Genomic DNA, 20,094 nt, shown 5'->3' with positions numbered 1-20,094 from the left:
GGCTATAAATGCATGGACTTATTTCTGAGTCCTCTATTCTGTTTCATTGGCCTATGTGTCTCTTTTTACACCAATATCATGCTGTTTGGGTTGCTATACCTTTATAGTATAATTTGAAATCAGGTGGTGTGATGCCTCTAGTATTGTTCTTTTTGCTCAGTATTGCTTTGTCTTTATGAGGTCTTCAGTGGTTCCATACAAATGTTATGATTGTTTTTTCTATTCTGTAAGAAATATCATTGATATTTTGACAGAAATTGCATTGAATCTGTGTATTTCTTTGGGTGTACAGAAATATACCCAAATACATTTTAACAATATTAGCAATATTAATTCTTCTAATCAATGACATTTTAACAATATTAATTTTTCTAATCCATGAGTGTGAAATATATTTCCATTTTTGTGTCCTTTTCAATTTTTTTTCCTCAGTATTTTATAGCTTTCCTTGTATAGATCTTTTACTTCTTTGGTTAAATTGATTCCTAGGTTGTTGTTTTATGTAGCTATTGCAGTGGAATTGCTTTCTTGATTTCCTTTTCAGATTAAGCACTTAACTGACAGAGATGCTCCTAATTTTTGTATTTTGATTTTGCATTGTACAATTTTACTAAATTTATCAGTTCTAAGATCATTTTTGGTGGAGTCTTTACGTTTTGTCTAAATATAAGATCATGTCAATTGCAAACAAAAATAATTTGACTTATTAATTTTCTATTTGGATGCCCTTTTTCTCTTGCCTAATTGGTCTGGTTAGGATTTCCAGTACTATGTTGAATACAAGTGTGAAAGTGGGCATCTTTGACTTGTTCCAGATCTTAGTTAAAAGGCTTTCAACTTTTCCCCATTCAGTATGATATTAGCTGTGGGCTTGTCATATATGGTCTTTATTATGTTGAGGTATATTCCTTCTATACCCAGTTTGTTGAGGGTTTTTTTTTTTTATCATGAAGCAATGTTGACTTTTACTGAATGTTTTTTCAGCATCTATTGAAATGACCATATGGTTTTGTCCTTGATATCTTTGATGTGATGTATCATGTTTATTGATTTGCATGAATTGAACCATCCTTACATCCGTGAGATGAATCTCACTTGATCATGACAAATGATCTTTTTAATGTGTTGTTGAATTCTGTTTGATAGTGCTTTTTTGAGAATTTGTACATCCATGTTCATCAGATATATTGGCTAGTAATTTTTTTTATCATGACTTTGTCTGGTTTTGGTATCAGGATAATGCCAGCCTTGTAGAATTAGTTTGGAGGCATTCTCTCTTCTTCCATTTCTTGAAATACTTTGAGTAGTATGGCTTTAGTTCTTTAAGTATTTGGTAGAATTCAGCAGTGACTCCATCAGGTCCAGTACCTTTCCTTGATGGGAGATTTTATTTCTGATTCAATCTTATTACTCATAATTGGTCTGTTCACGTTTTCTATTTCCTCGTGGTACAATCTTGGTGGGTTGTATGTATCCAGGAATTTATTCATTTCTTCTAGGTTTTCCAACTTGTTGGTGGATAGTTGTTCATAATAGTCTCTAACGATCCTTTCTATTTCTGTGTTATCCATTGTAATGCCTCCTTTTTCATTTTTGGTCTTATTTAATCTTCTCTCCTTTTCTCTTAATATAGCTAAGTTTGTCGATTTTTTTTATTCTTTCAAAAAGCTAACTTTTTATTTTGTTGATCCTTTGCACAGTTTAGTCGCAATTTGATTTATTCTCTAACCTTTATTATTTCTTTTATTCTAATGATTTTGTTACTTTTCTAGTTCCTTGAGATGAATCATTAGGTTATTTATTTGGAGTCCTTCTATTTTGTTGGTGTAGGTGTTTATTGCTATAAAATTCCCACTTAGGGCCAGGAGCACTGGCTCACACCTATAATCCCAGCACTTTGGGAGGCCAAGGTGGATGGATCACAAGGTCAGAAGTTTAAGACCAGCCTGGCTAATACGGTGAAATCCCGTCTCTACTAAAAATGCAAAAATTAGCCAGGTGTGGTGGCATGTGCCTGTAGTCCCAGCTACTTGGGAGGCTGAGGAAGGAGAATCGCTTGAACCCAGGAGGCAGAGGTTGCAGTGAGCCAAGATTGCACCACTGCACTCCAGCCTGGGTGACAGAGTGAGACTCTGTCTCAAAAAAAAAAAAAAAAAAGTTCCCATTTAGTACTGTTTTTGCTGTACCCCATAGGTTCTAGTATGTTGTGTTTCCATTTTCATTCGTTTCAAGAAATATTTTAATTTCCTTCATAATTTCTTCATTGATCCTTGGGTCACTGAGGAGCATGTTGGCCAAAGCAATCTTGAGTAAAAGAACAAAACTGGAGGACTCACACTACCTGATTTTAAAATAGAGAACAAAACTACAGTAACCAATACAGCATGGTACTGGCATAAAAAGATACATAGACCAGTGGAACAGAATAGAAAACTTAGGAATGAATTCATGCATTTATGGCAAGCAATTTTTGGCAAGGTGCCAAGAACACAAAATAGGGAAAAGACAGTTTCCCAATAAATGGTGTTGGGAAAACTGGATATCCACATGCAGAAGAATAAAATTAGACCCTCATTTCAAGCCATATACAAAACTCAACTCAAAATGGGTTAAAGATGTAAATGTAATGAACTACTAAAAGAAAACATAGGTGAAAGGCTCTGATATGATTAGGCTTTGTGTCTCCACTCAAATCTCATCTTGAATTATAATTCCCATAATCTCCACACGTCAAGGGAGAGATCAGATGGAGGTAATTGGATCATGGGGATGGTTTCCCCAATGGTGTTCTCATGATAGTGAGTGAGTTCCCATGAGATCTGATGGTTTTATAAGGGGCTCCTCTCCCTTCACTTGGCACTTCTCCTTCCTGCCGCCTTATGAAGAAGGTGCCTTGCTTCCCCTTTACCTTCTGCCACGATTGTAAGTTTCTTGAGGCCTCCTCAGCCATGCTGAACTGTGAGTTAGTTAAACTTCTTTCCTTTGTAAACTTAGTCTTGGGAAGTTTTTTATAGCAGTATGAAAACGGACTAATACAAGCTCCATGACAGTGATCCAGGAAATATTTTTATTGAATATTACCTCAGGCAACATAAGTAAAAATAGCCAAATGGGAATTCATCAAACTAAAAAGTTTCTATACAATAAAGCAAACAATCAACAGACTAAAGATAAAACCTACAGAATGAGAGAAAAAAATTGCAAGCTATACATCTGATAAAATATTAATACCTGTATTTAAAACATAAGGAATTTTAAAAGCTCAATAACAATAAGTCACCCAATTAAAAATGGAGAAAAATCCTGAACTGACATTTCTCAAAGAAAGACATACAAATGGCCAACTGGTATATGAAAAATTGCTTAACATCACGAATCATGTTAAGCTAATAATGGTCTTACTCTTATGTGGGATCTAAAAAAGTTGATCTTATAAAAGTAGAGAGCAGAATGGTGGTTGCCAGACACTAGGGTGGTTAGGGTGGAGAAGTTTGAGGAGATGTGGCTCAAAAGATACAAAATTACAGTTAGATAGGAGAAATAAGTTCAAAAGCTCTATTGTACAACATGGTTATTATAGTTAATAACAATGTATTGTATTGTTGAAATTTGCTAAAATAGTATATTACTATATAGTAGATAGTACACCATAAAAATGGTAACTATGTTAGGTAATACATATTTTAATTAGTGAGATTCAATTATTTTACAATGTATATATCCTTCAAAACATCATGTTGTACACAATAAATGCATACAATTTATCTGTCCATTTAAAACAAATAAGTAAATTTGAAAAAAATAGAAGAAAACAAATTGAATTTAAAATTGGGTAAAAAATCTGAACAGACATCTCACCAAAAAAAATACTCAGATAACAAATAAGGATAAGAAAAGATGCTGCTATGACTTGGCTGTGTCTCCACCCAAGCCTCATCTTGAATTGTAGCTCCCATAATTCCCATGTGCTGTGGGAGGGACATGGTGGGAGATAATTGAATCATGGGGGTGGTTTCCCTCATACTGTGCTCATGGTAGTGAATAAATCTCACAAGATCTGAAGGTTTGGTAAGGGGTTTCCCCTTTTGCTTGGCTCTCATTCCCTCTTGCCTGCTGCCATGTAAGAGGTGCCTATTGCCTTCTGCCATGATTGTGAGGGCTCCCCACCCATGTGGAACTGTGAGTCCATTAAACCTCTTTTTCTTTATAAATTACCCAGTCTATGGATAACTGAGTTCAGAAGTTTGAGACCAGCCTGGCCAACATGGTGAAACCCTGTCTCTACTAAAACATACAAAAATTAGCTGGGCGTAGTGGTACGTATCTGTAATCCCAGCTACTCAAGAGGCTGAGGCTGGAGAATCACCTGAACTCGGGAGGCGGAGGTTGCAGTGAGCCGAGATCACGCCACTGCACTCCAGCTTTGGTGATAGTGCGAGACTCCATCTCAAAAATAAATAAATAAATAAATAAAAATTAAAAAGATAAAAATTACCCAGTCTCGGGTATGTCTTTATTAGTGTGAAAATGGACTAATACAGATGGTTAACATCATATTTCTTTAGGGAATTGCAAATTAAAACAATAACGAAATATCTCTGCACACTTAATACGGTGACTAATATCCAAAACACTAACACCACCAAATCCTGAGAAGGATGTGGAGCACCAAGAACTCTTATCCACTGCTGGTGGGAATGCAAAATAGTGCAGCCTCTTTGAAAGATAGTTTGGCACCTTCTTACAAAGCTAAATATATTCTTACCACATAATCTGACAATCGCACCCCTAGATCTTTACCCAAGTGAACTGAAAACCTATATCCACACAAAAATTTGCACAAGAATGCTTATATTAGCTTTATTCATAATTGTCCCAAACTGGCAGCAACTAAGACATCCTTCAACGCCTGAATGAATAAGCAAACTGTGGTATCTATGCACCATAGATGGAATATTCTTTTGCGCCACAAAGAGAAGAAGGAATCTTAAATGTATATTGTTATGTAATCCTAGCACTTTGGAAGGCTGAGAGGAGTGGATCACTGGAGCCCAGGAGTTTGAGACCAGCCTGAGCAACATGGGGAAACCACGTCTCTACCAAGAAAAATAAATAAATACAAAAATTAGCCTGGCATTGAAGGTGCACACTTCTCAGCTACTCAGAAGGCTGAGGTAGGAGGATGGCTTGGGCCAGGCATGCAGAGGATACAGTGAACCAGCTGAGATTGTGCGACTGCACTCCAGCCTGAGCAAGAGCCAGACCCTGTGTCAAAAAACAAAAACCAAACAAACAAAAAAACAAAGGCAGTCAGTCTGAAAAAGCTACATACTGTATGACTCTAACTATATGGCATTCTGGAAAAGGCAAAACTATGGAGAGAGTAAAAAGACCAGTGGTGGCCAGGAAATGGGGTTGTGAGTAGGGAGCACAGAGGATTTTTTAGGGTAGTGGAATTACAGGCATTCCTTATTTTGTTGCACTTTGCTTTATTGCATTTTGTAGATACCGTGCTTTTTACAAATTGAAGGTTTGTGGCAACCCTGCCTCAAGCAAGTCTATAGGTGCCATTTTCCAACAGCATGCTCACTTCATGTCTCTGTGTTACATTTTGATAATTCTCACAATATTTTAAACTTTTTCATTATTAGTATATGTGTTACGGTGATCTGTAATCAGTGATATTTGATGTTACTATTGTAATTGTCTTGGGATACCATGGACCATCCACACACAAAACCATAAACTTAATTGATAAATGTTTTGTGTGATCTGACTGCTCCACAATAAGCCCTTCCGCCATCTCACTCCTTCTTCTGGGGTCTCTGACAGATGACAGTATTGGAATTAGGCCAATTAATAACTCTACAATGGCCTCTAAGGGTTCAAATGAAAGGATGAGCTGCATATCTCTACTTAAAATCAAAACTAGAAATAAGCTTAGTGAGGAAGGCATATCAAAAGCCGAGACAGGCTGAAAGCTAGGCCTCTTGTACCAATTAGCCAAGTTGTGAATGCAAATAAAAAGTTCTTCAAAAAATTTACAGTGCTACTGCACTGAGCACACCAATGATAAACAAACAAAAAAAGAAACAAAACAGCCTTATTGCTGATATAGAGAAAATTTAATAGTCGGAATGGAAGAACAAAGCATCCACAGCATTCCCTTAAGTAAAAGCCCAATGCAGAGCAACGACCTAACTCTCATCAATTCTAGGAAGGCTGAAAGTGGTAAGGAGTTGTAGAAGAAAAGTTGGAAGCTAGCAGAGATTAGTTCATGAGGTTTAGGAAAAGAAGCCATCTTCAAAACCACAAAAGCACAATGTGAAGCAGCAAGTGCTGAATGTAGAAGCTCAAGCAAGTTATTCAGATCTAGATAAGAGCATTGATGAAGGTGGCCACACTAAACAACAGATTTTTGATGTAGATGAAACAGCCTTCTCTTGGAAGAAGATGTCTTCTAGGACTTTTATAGCTAGACAGAAAAAGTCAAAACCTGGTTTCAAAGCTTCAAAGGACAGGCTGACTCTCTTCTTAGGGGCTAACGCTGCAGGTGACTTTAAGTTGAAGCCAATTTCCCATTCTGAAAATCCTGGGACCCTTAGGAATTATGCTAAATCTACTCTGCCTGTGCTCTATAAATGCAATAACAAAGCCTGGATAACAGCATATCTGTTTACAGCATGGTTTACTGAATTTTGAAGCCACCTACTATTGAAACCTACTTCTCAGAAAAAAGATTCTTGAGATTTCTTTTTTATCTTTGCTCATTCATAATGCACCTGATCATCCAAGACCTCTGATGGAGATGTACAAGGAAATCGATGGGTTTTTCATATCTGCTAACATAACCTCCATTCTTCGGCCTGTGGATTCAGAAAAAATTTGACTTTTAAGTCTCATTATTTAAGAATTTTGTAAGCTATAGCTGCCATAGATAGTGCTTTCTCTGATAGATCTGGGCAAAGTAAATTGAAAACCTTCTGGAAAGGAGTCACCATTCTAGATGCCATTAAGAACATTCATGATTCATGAGGGAAAGTCAAAATGTCAACATTAACAGGAGTTTGGAAGAACTTGATTCCAACCCTCATGAATGACTTTGAGGGGTTCAAGACTTCAGCGGAGGAAGTAACTGCAGATGTGGTGGAAACAGCAAGAGAAGTAGAATTCGAAGTGATGCCTTGAAGATGGGACTGAATATGGCTGCAATATCATGATAAAACTTGAACAAATTAGGAGATGCTTCTTATAAATGAGTGATGGAAGTTGTTTCTTGAGATAGAATCTACTCATGGAGAAAGTGCTCTGAGAAGTGTTGAAATTACAACAAAATATTTAAAATATACATAAACTTAGTTGATAAAACAGGAGCAGGGTTTAAGATGATTTTGAAAGAAGTTCTACTGTGGCTAAAATGCTATCAAACAGCATCACATGCTACAGAGAAATCTTTCATGAAAGAAAGAGTCCATCAATGCAGCAAACCTCATGGATATATTATTTTAAGAAATTGCCACAGCCACCCCAACCTTCAGCAAGAAATTGCCACAGCCACCCCAACCACCATCCTGATTGGTGGGCAGCCATTAACATCCAGGTGGGACCCTCCACCAGCAAAAAGACTATGATTTGCTAAAGGCTCAAATGATTGTTAACATTTTTTAGCAATTAAGTATTTTTAAATTAAGTTTTGCACATTTTTAGAGATAATGCTATTTCACACTTAATAGACCACAGTATCATGTAAATGTAATAATTTATATGTGCTAAGAAACCAAAACATTTTTTGTGACTTGCTTTATTGAGATATTCACTTTATTTCAGTGGCCTGAAACCAAACCCTACTGAACATGCCTTGATATGCCTCTATTCTGTCTGACACCATAATGTTAGATACAGAAGTTTATGCATTTGCAAACTTCACAAAACTGTATAACACAAAAAGTGAACATTAATGTAAACTATGGATATTCATTAGTAATAATAAATATCAGTTTATCTGTTGTAACAAATGTACCACACCAATGCAAGATGTTAATAATAGGGGAAACTGGGGGAAAGGGGGGAAGGAGAGCATTATAGGAACTCTCTATCCTTTCTGTTCAACTTTTCTATAAACTTAAAACTGCTTTAAATATGAAGTCTATCGACTTTTTACTTCTAAAAATATTTTATCAAATCACAATTATATTAGTAAATAAAGTGGAAAGTCTCCTGGTTGGATTTATTTAGTAAAATTATAAAATTAAGTAGTGAATATTCTACAGAGAGAATACCATGTAAAATCTAATGCTAATTGAACAGATTAACCCTTTTCCATGCCCCCACTACCCCACCATGACCCATGCACAGAGTCCATATTGTTGAGTTAAGGCTTAATGAAGACACTTAGGAAAGAAGATTTCACAAACAGTGGGGGAGAGAGATTATTTCAGTAACCTGTTAAGGCAAAATAACAACGAAAAGTCATTTTTTTAAATGTTTGATAGCTGTGTTAGTCCATTTGCTTTGCTATAAAGGAATACCTGAAACTGGGTAATTTATAAAGAAGAGGCTTATTTTGGCTCACAGTTCTGCAGGCTGTATAAGCATGGCACCAACATTTGCTTGGCTTCTGGTAAGGCCTCAGGAACCTTACAATCAGGTGGAAAGCAAACGAGGAGCAGGTGCATCACATGGTGAGAGGGAGCAACAGTGAGAGAGGGAAGAGGTTCCAGGCTCTTTAAACAACAATATCTTGCCTGAGCTCATACAGCGAGAACTGCCTCATTACCATGAGGATGGCACAAAGCCATTCATGAGGGTTCCATCCCCATGACCCAAACACCCCCACCAGGACCCACCTCCAACACTGGGGATTTGGGTGGGGAAAAACATCCAAACCATATCACTAGCCAACTGATGCCTTTCATGCAATTGAATCTGTACTCTTTGTAAGTCATTGACACAAAGTCATACATAAGTATGTACTCATTCTTATAAATCATTTGCGCAGATACCTTAACATTTTAGCTATCCTATCTGAGTAAAATAACTAATAAGTGGAGTCAGATCCAAAGAGAGCAAGTGGGATTCTGAGGATGTGGGGTTGGAAGAACACTATTGATTGATGTAGTATTGGTCAGAGGGCCCTACTGAGAAGTCATCAATGGTTAAATTTCAGCCTTGGGGGCATATTGAGTAGTGGTCCTCAAGGGGTCAGCCCTGCACCTGGTGCTGTTTAATGTTTTCACAAATGACTCCAATGATGGCCTTTAGATTGTGTTTCTAAAGCTGGCTCATATTCTGGTAAAAAATAATAATTCATAACCCACATGATATGGTGGAGAAACAGAGATGCTTAAACAGATTGCTATACAGAGGGAAAGTGTAAGGAAATTTATTTTAGAAAACAGATTCCCTGCACATACAATGCAGTGGTCCTGCACAAAATCTTTACCCAGGCCTTGCCCTCATTTGTTTGGCTGACTTGTTTCTAGGAGAGCCTGGGCAGGTTTTCTATTCTCCTGAGTGGAACCATCAGACTTTTCTTGAGGGATTGGCCCTCTAGTGAAGAGCATGGAGTGGACTGGGCCAGGGAAAGATCCTCAGATAATCCTTACATGTAAGTTGGCAAAATCTTTAGCCTCTACCTTATTGTTAGCTATGAGTAGCAGGGATGCAGGTACCTCAAGAGACCAGCTGAGATAAAGAAAGTTCATAATGTCCACAATTACTTTGATGACACAAGTGAAAATCTTATAAATTATGATATTTAATTGATTAGCCTATAAACATATACTTTTTATGGTTTAAAACATTTTTATAGTTTTTTTACTATACTACATTACATAGTGTAATATATATTACACTATACTTATTAATAGGATAATAACAAGTGCCATAGGAATTCAGAAAATTTAAAAAATAACTATTATTAATTAGGAAGGACAAAGAAGGCCCCACTGTACAGCTGAACTTTGAAAGAAAGGAAGTACTTGGATAAAACAAGATAGGAAAATTTTCTAACAAAACGGTAATAAAAATTATACTCTAAAATAGGATTTCTCAAGCTCAACACTTTTAACAACTGGGGCCAGATAATCATTTGTTGTTAAAACCTGTCCTGTGCTTTGTAGGATATTTAGTAACATCGCTGGTCTCTACCACTACATGTATTGGTGTTCTCTTTGCTATAACAACCTAAAATATATCAGATGGTGCAAATGTTCAGGGAAGTGGGGGTGGAGGGGGAGAGAAAGTGGGGAGGGAGGAAATCATCCCCTACTGAGAACCATTGCTTTAAAGGAGAAATAGTTGACATCCAAAACTTCATTTTCTCAATGAGAAAGTTAAATTACAGTAAGATTAAGTAATTTGGTCAAAGCAAGCAAGTAAGATGCAGATTCAAGAGTAGAATCCAGGTCTTCTGGCTCCCAGTCCAAACTCTTTTATAACTTAATTCTGCTGCTTTGAGTTCTGGAGACCTGGACAAAGTCAAGGAGAGCAGGTTCGGAATAGTCTGTTTGCAACAATACCAGGCTCATGGATTATCTTTGAACATACTGTGTATGACAAAAGCAGTAGTTCTCAGTAGGTGGTGATTTCCTCCCTCCCCGCTTTCTCTCTGCCTCCAGCCCCACTTCCCTGAACATTTGCACCGACTGATACATTTTAGGTTGTTACAGCCAGGAGAACACAATACATGCATTGGTAGAGACCACAGATGTTGCCAAACATCCTACAAAGCACAGGACACGTTTTAACAAATGATTATCTGACCTAGATCCCTCAGGAGGCAAGCAGATGTTATGTTCTGAATCTCTCAGGACAGAGTGCTTACTACTTCAAGGATAAGAGCAGGATAGCAAGAGGAAGAAGTAGAAGTTTATGAAGGTGGTGAATCCCCAAAGCTGAAAGTAATTTCTAATTCACTGTTGTGATTTCAGGATATCCACAGTAGATCAACTGATGCTTCAGGGTAAGCAGGCCCAATCACCTTGCAATTAAGGTGATAGAGGCCTCCATTTGTTATATAATCATAAACATAGGAAATAGAGTTTTCGTAAGTTAATCTGACCCACACCTCAGAAAAAGTGGGTGAACTCTGAAAGCACAGCAATAAAAGAAAAAAATGAACAGGTTAACTTTTGTCAAAATTTTTAAAATTTGTATTTCAAAAGACATTATCAAGAGTGAGAAAATAACCCACAGAATGTGGGAGAATGTTTGCAAAGCACATATCTGATAAAGGATTCGTATCTAGAACGTACATAAAACTCTTCCATCTCAAAAGGACACATAAGTCAATTAAAAATGGTCAAAGCATCCGAATTAGCATTTATTCAGAGAATATACAAATGACCAAAAGCATATGAAAAAATTCTCCACATCATTAATCATTAGGGAAATATAAATCAAAATCACAATAAGATAGCATCACACTAATTAAAATGGCTATAATCAAAAGGACAGACAATAACAAGTATTGACAAGAATGCAGAGAAACTAGAGCCCTCAAATACTTATCTCAGGAATCTAAGATGGTGCAGCTACTTTGGAGAACATTTTGGCACATTCTTAAAGGGTCAAATATAAATTTATCATACCACCTAAAAATCTCACTCTTAGGAATCTACTCAAAATAAATGAAAATATGTCCACACAAAACCTTGTACGCAAGTATTGATAGCCGTATTATTCACAATAGCCAAAAAATGGAAATGACCCAAATGTCCATCTGCTGACAGATAAACAAAATGTGTTATATCCATATAATGAATTTTATCAGCAATAAAAAAGGAAAGTACTGACAGATATTACAGCTGGATAACCCTCAAAAACATTATACTAACTGAAACACACACACAGAAGAACACATATTGTATAATTCCTTATATAAAGTGTCCAAAAAAGCAAATAATAAGAGAAACTAAGTAGATTAGTGGTTGCCTAGGACTGGGAGGAAAAAACAGGAAATAACTGTAATTAGGTACAAAATGTCTTTTTTAGAGAAATGTAAATACTCCAAAATTATATTATGATAGTTATACAACTCTGAAAGTATACTAAAGTCTACTAAATTGGACAATTGAAATGGATGAAGTTATGGTATATAGATCATGTCTGAATAAAGCAGCTTAGAAAATACCTCCTTCAAGATAAATGAAACAGCAAGACATAAACCGGGAGGAAAGAGTTGTGATATATATGTCTGACAGGACTTGTACTGCACCATCCCAAAAGTGAATGAAATCTAAATCTTTGAATTTAAAAAGAGTAAGATAAAAGAAGCAAGATGACATTCCCAAGAGAACATTTCTTGGTGGGCATCATTCATATGACACAACAGATATTAAGTAGAGATTATAATATTTAAATTAAATGACATGTAGCAAGCTAGAAAGTTTTGATAAGAATCCTTTCTTACAGTGAATATACTTGCAGAACAATCTTTACTCCAAATCAGCTAGTTCCTAGTAACAGTGTCCCAAAAGCAACAACAACAACAAAGTGTGGCTGAAGTTTGAATAGCAAAACATTGTGTCAAAAGATTGAGTAAGGAAAAAAAATAGCATAACTTAGTGTGGTTAGAGAAGAAGGTCTTTAAAGAGAAGCGATAGCCTGGCAATTTCTTTGCAAATGCAGAGCATGAAAGATAAGGGGAACATGATAAGCTGCTGTAGGTAGATAATAGCAAAAGGAAAGAAGGTTCACTGCCCTATTCAAAAGCCCCCAGTGGGCCTCGGTTGATGGTGAGGCATTCAAGGGCTTCCTTAATATGGCCATCATTCCAGTTTTCACCATCCTGTAGGACTGCCACCCCACCCTCTGGATGCTCTGTACCCCTGTTCTCCATACCTTATATATTTTCTCCACCTCAACCAAACACCCTTATTTTCCAGTGTGTAACGTCCTCTCCCAATCATCACCTGTTGATATCCTAGTCAATTTTCAAAGCTCCCTTCTTCTATGAAGCTTTCCTTCGATCTCCTTACTGGAAATAAGTCTCTGTTCTCTCCTCCTACAGCACTTCATCTTTTTCTCTTAGCATTTATCCCATCTCAGTGTTACAGCTCTCCGTATAACTGTCTTCTCTTCCTTCAGTATTATAAACTCCTTCAGGTAAGCAGCTCTGCTTACTCATCTCGTACTCCTGCCTAGTAAGAGCCCAGAAAACCTTCAGCTCTCAATACATTCTGAATAAAATTTCCAACGGAAAGAGTAAAGAAGATTCCATCTTGAAGTAAGCAATCAAATCTACCAAATCTCATCTCATATCAATTTCTAATAACAGTGCCCAAAGGAACCAAGTGAAATTACCAAATTAGAAGTGATAAGAGGTTGACTCTCTCCAGAAATTTATTGTAATTAGAAAGAGGTAATGGTGTCTAAATAAGATGAAAGAAGATATTTTAAAGATGATAATAACAAAAACTGTAAGTATTACTTTAAAAGGTATTGTAGAAATTGTTTTAAAGATTTAAATTCTAACTTTTTAAGGCATTATCTATGTAAACAAATTGAAGTAAATAAATCTTGGGTGGGGGAGCAGTGATTAGAAAGAATAGGAAGCAACCTAAAACAAGATAATAATTCTATATAAATTGTTAATTCCATAACAGCATTTAGTAGTAAAGACATAGGAAAGACTTCTAATAATGAAAAGGAAACAAAATATAAGAACATATTCATGATAATAACAGAAAATTATTCAGGAGTACACATTTATTCAATCTGTCAATCAAGCAAACAACCGAAATATTTTTAGTATACTCTATGCCAGAAATGGTGCTGGGTGTAGAAGAAACAAAACACTCTTCATAAATAGCTATGGATATATTAAAATGTCAGCAAAATAAAAGTTATATGTGTTTTAGGTTCTAATGAACACAGTAGAGCACACGTTCAATTCTACCCTTGAAATGACCAAATTTCACGGTAGAAATTACTAGAGTGGTTCAGGAAAGGCTTTACAGAGGAAGGACCCCTTGAGCTGAGACTGGAACATCTTGAAGGGTAAGTAGACTGTCATTGGTAGGGGTATGAAGAAGGAGAAAAGCTAAAGGCTTCATTTTAGAAGGAAGATTAAGAGCAAAAGCACAAAGCTGAGGAATCATCTATGTGTGCTGGGAGCTACAAACAGATCAATATGTCTGAAATCCAGGATGCAAGGAAACATACAGGAAGAAGGTCTTAGAGTGGTTTGCTAAGCTGAAAAGTTTAGAGTTTGTTAATGTGGACTACTTGAAGAGTTTTAAGCTGGCCATATACAGGCAGATTTGCATTTTAGAGTAACACTTTGGTGGGAAGGAGGAAGAAGAAGTGGAGGGAAGCAAGACTAGAGAAAGATGTCATTAGAAAACTCTAACAGTACTCTAGTCCAGTGATGACAGAGGCCTGGTATGTGGTAGTGAGGATGAAGAGAGGTGACAGATTGGAGATATATTTAGAAAGCTGATTCAACAGGACACGGTGATTAATGGCAAACGGAGAGGAAAAGACAATGAGGAGTCCAGGTTTTTGGCTTAGGCAATTGGGGCATGTCATCTTGTACAGTAGGAAAAATGGAAGGAGGAGTGGTTAATGGGAAGACGATGAATTCTATTTCAGACATCCTAGGTTTGAGGAAACTGTGAGGACATCTAAGTGGCAATTTCCAAAAGGCAGCTGAATTAATGTGTCTGGAGATAAGAAAAAGGTAGGGCTGGAATTAGACATTTAAGAATCGTCTCATATATTGGTTAATTTAGTCCATCAGAGTGAGTGGGATTTCCAAGGTTAATGTATAGAGTCTGAAGAGAACTGAAAATTCTCTTCAGAGGAGGGAAGGAAGGAAGGAAGGAAGGAAGGAAGGAAGGAAGGAAGGAAGGAAGGAAGGAAGGAAGGATCAAACTTCAGACAGCAACCAACACAACATGAAAGAGATGGCTACTTCAAAGGAAATGCTTTTGCAAGTTCATGCCTGCTGTATAATTTTACTCATGCTATTTCCCATCAGTATTTTATCCCTCCTAAATCTAAGTCTAGTAGAACCCTTCCCAATCCTTCCTTATCAACAGTTTAACCAATGCTGCCATGAAAAATCCTCTTCTTGGGAGTCTTATTCTATAGGAACAGGTTATGGACAACTTTATCTTTCCCTAAGATGAGAAAAATTCTTTAGAAAATCCCCTGGTGCATGAAAGAAAAAGTGCAAACTCTTTTATCCTCACTACAAAAATTAAGAGCATGCCTATGTCTTCTTTATTCTATGTCACAATTTTTTAAGTACTTCACCGTTTAATTAATTCATTAAAAAGCATTCATTAAGAGTCTGCCTTTTGCAATTAACATGCTGATCTGTCTGTATATTGCACTACAGATTTAAGCAGATGGGAAGCCCTAGAATTATATGATTGATAATTTAGGGCTTAGAGGTAAAGCATCATAGAAAAATCCTTAGATCAGTCCTTCTGAACCACAGTGGTTGTTGGAGTACATTAAAAATATCAAGAATGCCACAATCAAATAATCAGATCAGCAGGCAGATAGAAATGTAGGGTTTATCTGTGAGGTAACTATGATTGATCAGGTGAAAGTAAAGAGAATTTAAGATTGATGCATATACAGGGTTTGTTATACCATTCTTTTACTTTTGTTTGCTTGAAATTTTCTGAAGAAAAACCAAAAGACAGAAAGAATCCCAGATAGAGAACACAAAAGATAAAAATCAATTTGCCTATTAAATCTAGTCAAAGAAAGAGAGGCAGGATGGTTGAAGGAGACAAAATATAGAGTTGAGAATGTCAGCTCTGAAAAAACTCATGCATATGAATTGTAGCCCCACAATTTTTCCACTGTTAAATGCTCTTAGAGGATTTGCTTAACCTCTCTGTGCCTCAGTTTTCTTATCGGAAAAAAATAGTGATAATATCCATCTCTTTGAGGTGAGAATTATATGAGATAAATTTAGCATAGTGTCTGGCACATAAAAAACCACCATTAAATATTAGCTATTTATTATCCCTAACAGACTAGAATGAGGTGAAGCCAGAAAGGAAGAGTCATAATCAAAGAAGAGAGTGATCAAGAATCCAAAATGTATGTTTCATGTTCCACTTGCCATTCAATCCATCCACTAACTTATTTCATCTTTATTATCTATAGTTTGAACTTTAGTTTTGATATGTTATTCCCCCGTTTGATGTTAGATCTCAGATTAACCCCATTGGACCTGATACAGCTATTAATAGTTGCTCAGAGGATCTCGACATAGTGTATATATTTAAACTTAGCAAGCATTCTAAGAGAATCCCTGGGTGACTTTAGTATGCTGCAGCCTTGTGCAAAGGCAGCTGGGAGCATGTTGATCAGTAGGGAAGGGCCCCAAAAACAACTGTGTAGGGATGCTGGGAGGGTTGGGTGAGACTACCTAAAATAACTGTACCCTTTAGAAGACAGGGAACATTCTTCTGTAGTTAGTTGTTTCATTCCCAGAATCTAGCACAGAGTCTGTCACTCAGTCGACACCCAATAATAATTGACTGAATAAACAAATGAATGAATAAACAAACTTGTACTGAGATCCTACGATAAAGAGGTAGGAAACTGTTTCCCAGTATTTTCATTCTGAATGAACTTGAAATTTTAGCTAGAATGAATTTGCTGCTGATCAGTTCAACTAAAGTCCATGAACTCAAAGTTAGCTGAGCCCCTGACTTGCTTGATTTGGATCTAAACTCACAAAATGGAGCTTTTCAAGAACCAACAAGGATGACTGACAGATGGCAAGAATCTGTGGAGGAGACATAGGCCCTCCCCAAAGACACTGTGACAGCCACACTGGTAGAAACTGCAGCCCCCTGTCTTCAGGATGACCAGAGCTGCTCAACCTTTTAGCTTGTGTTTACTACAATTTTCATGCTTCAAACTTCTTCATCCCTTCATCAGGAGGGCAATTTCTCTATTTCGTTTCAAGCATCTGTTCTCCATAATGAGCTTTATTTATTCATTTAGAGATGGGGTGTCTCACTCTGTCACCCAGGCTGGAGTGCAATAGCACAATCATAGCTCACAGCAGCTTCAAATTCCTAGGCTCATGTGATCCTCCTGCCTTAGCCTCCTGAGTAGCTGGGACTACAGGTGCATGCCATGCACCACCATGTTTGGCTAATTTTTTTTTTCACTTTCTCAATTTTTGTAGAGACAGGGGTGTCCCTTTGTTGCCCAGGCTGTTCTCAAACTCCTGGCCTCAAGCAATCTTTTCACCTTGGCCTCTCAAAATGCTGGGGTTACAGGTGTGAGCCACTGCCTCTGACCAGAAACTATTTTTAAAACACCAAATTTCATTCACTTTATCTAAACCTGCAATGGCATGACATGCAGTTTTTATTTTAGTCCCTGACTTTTTCTAATCTTAACTTGATTCCCATAATTTTATATTTTTGAGGCTCCCTCTCAGAATATTCTTCTTATTTACTTGAGCGTTTTAATTTCTTTTTCCTTTTTTTTTCCTTCCTACTGTTTTGTTTTTGAATTGTTCCTTGGCCAACAATATTTTTGGTGTAACTATGTGTTAGGGAATGTAAAAAAAATGTTTTTCAAATTATCTTAGTTTATATTTCATCCCCTCATGGTAGACATGATTATTCCCATTTTGCAAATGAGAAAAAGGGACCTAAACATTAAATAATTTGTCCAAGGCTTTATAACTGGCAAAGTAGGGAACCAATTCACTGTCTTCTAAAAACATAGGCAGGTTCTGTTTTACCTAGCATCACTGTGAATTGAAAATAGACTTGGAAAAAATAAAATCAATCTTCCATATGCGATAACTCATATAGACAGATATTTAGAAAAAGAAACCCAAAGTATTTCTTTTTGGCTTTCTGGTTCTTTTTCAAAGCAGAAATAGAGGGCTTGTAGGAAACAAATAAGTATTCGAAAGCTCCTATTTCTCCCTCACTGAGCCAGGGCTTCTTTAAAAAGCGATCCCGTGCCAGAGTTGGAGCCTTCAGTTCACTCAGCAGTGACAGCTTTTATTTAAACTCTGTGGGTTCTATATTCCCTTTTGCCTAAGAGCTCTATGTCTCTCCTCATTTGTAATGGTCTTTTTTTTTTTCCTCTCACTTATGCCAGAGACAGAGAGAGCAGGCTCTTAGAGAAATGGGAGAACTACCGCACTGACTCTGCACGTAGGAGACAGGCAGGAGAGGAGCGCCCCAGCCAGAGCTCAACATGCGCAAACAGGAAGTGTGTCCGAGGTTTTCTGGAGCTCACAGGAGCCGGGGACCCACAGCCAGACGTTTATCTGTATGTGTCTTAAATTATGTTTTTGAAAGACTGTAGTCAGTTGTGTGACAATCTATAGGAAACCAAACATTTGCACGACTCTACTCTTTTTCCCAATTTTTAAATATTTTTATTTAGAAACTCATGTAATTAATAGTTTAACTGTGAACCAGAATAACCAATACATATGTATTGTACACATTTTTATCTCTTAATTATTCACAGCCTAAATAATCTAGATCTAATGACCATTTAGAACCAAAACTATACTGGAAGTTTCCCAACTACAACCATCGCTGACCCAAGTATTGGTCAATTTTCCTAGCTGCTTGCTAGGACATTGTATTGCTGAGGCCATTTTTTACAAAGGACACAGATTTGGCCTTTGAAACATGCAGATAAAAAAACAGATGGATTTTTATCTGTTCATTCAAAGTGGGGGGGAGGGGCCAAGTGATTTGTGTGTTTTGTGTATCTCTATTGGAGAACAATAAACTGATTGAGAGGGTTTATTTTTTTTTTTTTTTAGGAAAGAAAAGCAGACAAGACAAACTAAATCAGCAACCATCCCTTTGGATGCCAGCTGACCTCGGATGGAGATTTAGTGCTAGATGTAAAAGGCTTTGTTTACAGACAATTAAAAACCACATAAATTTAAATTGTCAAAGAAGAAATGGTTTCCAAAGCTTCTAACAGCCTGGTAGCCCCTCCTCAGCCCTGTGCAGGAAAGGCCCAGAGGCAAATACAAAGCCACCAACCCAAATGCCTGTGGAGTTTGCCAGAAAGCCAGATCCTGCTGCTTCTGCTGCTTGTTACTGATGTTGAAAAATAAAATCTTATACAGCTTCAAATGTAGGTTCTTTGAGTGCTAATCAAACAGCAAGAAGGCAACAGATGACCACGGAGGAGGTGGCTGCACGAAAGTACGCCACAAAGTATGGAATTACTGCAAGTAGGCCTTTCGGCAATCAATGTGTCTGAACCTTTTGTGTGCTCTCCATTTTTTCCCACCGAAGGAACTAGATGCAAAGATTAAAAAGTGACACAAACACAAACGATCGTCAGACTTAGAGCCTGAAATATTCTGAATGTTCTTATCTGTGTATTTTACTTCTTCCCGTCAGCCATCAGGCAAAAGGACTGAAGCTCCAGACAAGAGCAGCTCCATAGGAAAAAACAAAAACAAAAAAACACCCTTCCATGTTTGCATCAATATTTGGTGCTGATGTTGATGAATAAGTAATGATGTGTAGGTGTTGATAACATTTATACACAGCCCTGATTGGTTCTGACACAGGTGCTCCATGGAGGATGAGGTTTACAAGCCGAAAACGGTCAGGGGAAAGCCATGGTTTCGGGCTGTCCCTCACAGATGCGGGATTTTGCACCTGTGTTTGAAGTTGCTCTTTCATTTAGTTTCTCTGCAGAAAAGCCAGGCACAATGTTCAAACTGGGAGCACCTGTGTTTGGGGCCAACTTGGACTATTTTGTGGCCTGAAAGTGGTCTCTTAGATCCATTACTTAAACTTAACAAGAAAACTTTTTTTTCCCCTTGGAGTTTTAAAATTGGAGGTTAAAAAAATTAAGTTATGGATACACATATTAGTCTCATCACAGGACCAAGCATATGCAAAGTGTTGTACAGCTTACTTACATTATTCAAGGACTTGAGTGATAAAAGACAAATGCCATTAAAAATTGGATGAGCCCCGAAACCCTGCTCATCGATTGAAATCTTTGTTTAAATCACAAGGCAATTTTCCTGTTAGGGATGCGACATTTAGGCACCAGAGTCAACTCAAATTTAATACAATCTTATTCTATTCTAATTTAAAGGCA

At 37.1% G+C, this 20,094-nt stretch overlaps 1 long non-coding RNA gene across 1 annotated transcript in view; it reads left to right on the top strand.

Moving 5' to 3' along the window:
• The window catches only part of LINC00331 (long intergenic non-protein coding RNA 331), a 52,732-nt gene extending 34,469 nt beyond the window's left edge, over positions 1-18,263 (top strand). Inside the window, exons 3-5 of the long non-coding RNA NR_046869.2 lie at positions 13,280-13,421; positions 15,998-16,065; positions 18,103-18,263. This is a non-coding gene — a long non-coding RNA (long intergenic non-protein coding RNA 331). The remainder of the gene's footprint in view (positions 1-13,279; positions 13,422-15,997; positions 16,066-18,102) is intronic.
• Positions 18,264-20,094: the final 1,831 nt, after the last annotated feature.

This window comes from Homo sapiens, chromosome 13 (assembly GCF_000001405.40).
Source record: "Homo sapiens chromosome 13, GRCh38.p14 Primary Assembly".
NCBI classification, from domain to species: Eukaryota; Metazoa; Chordata; class Mammalia; order Primates; family Hominidae; genus Homo; species Homo sapiens.
This window is presented reverse-complemented; position numbering and strand designations above follow the sequence as displayed.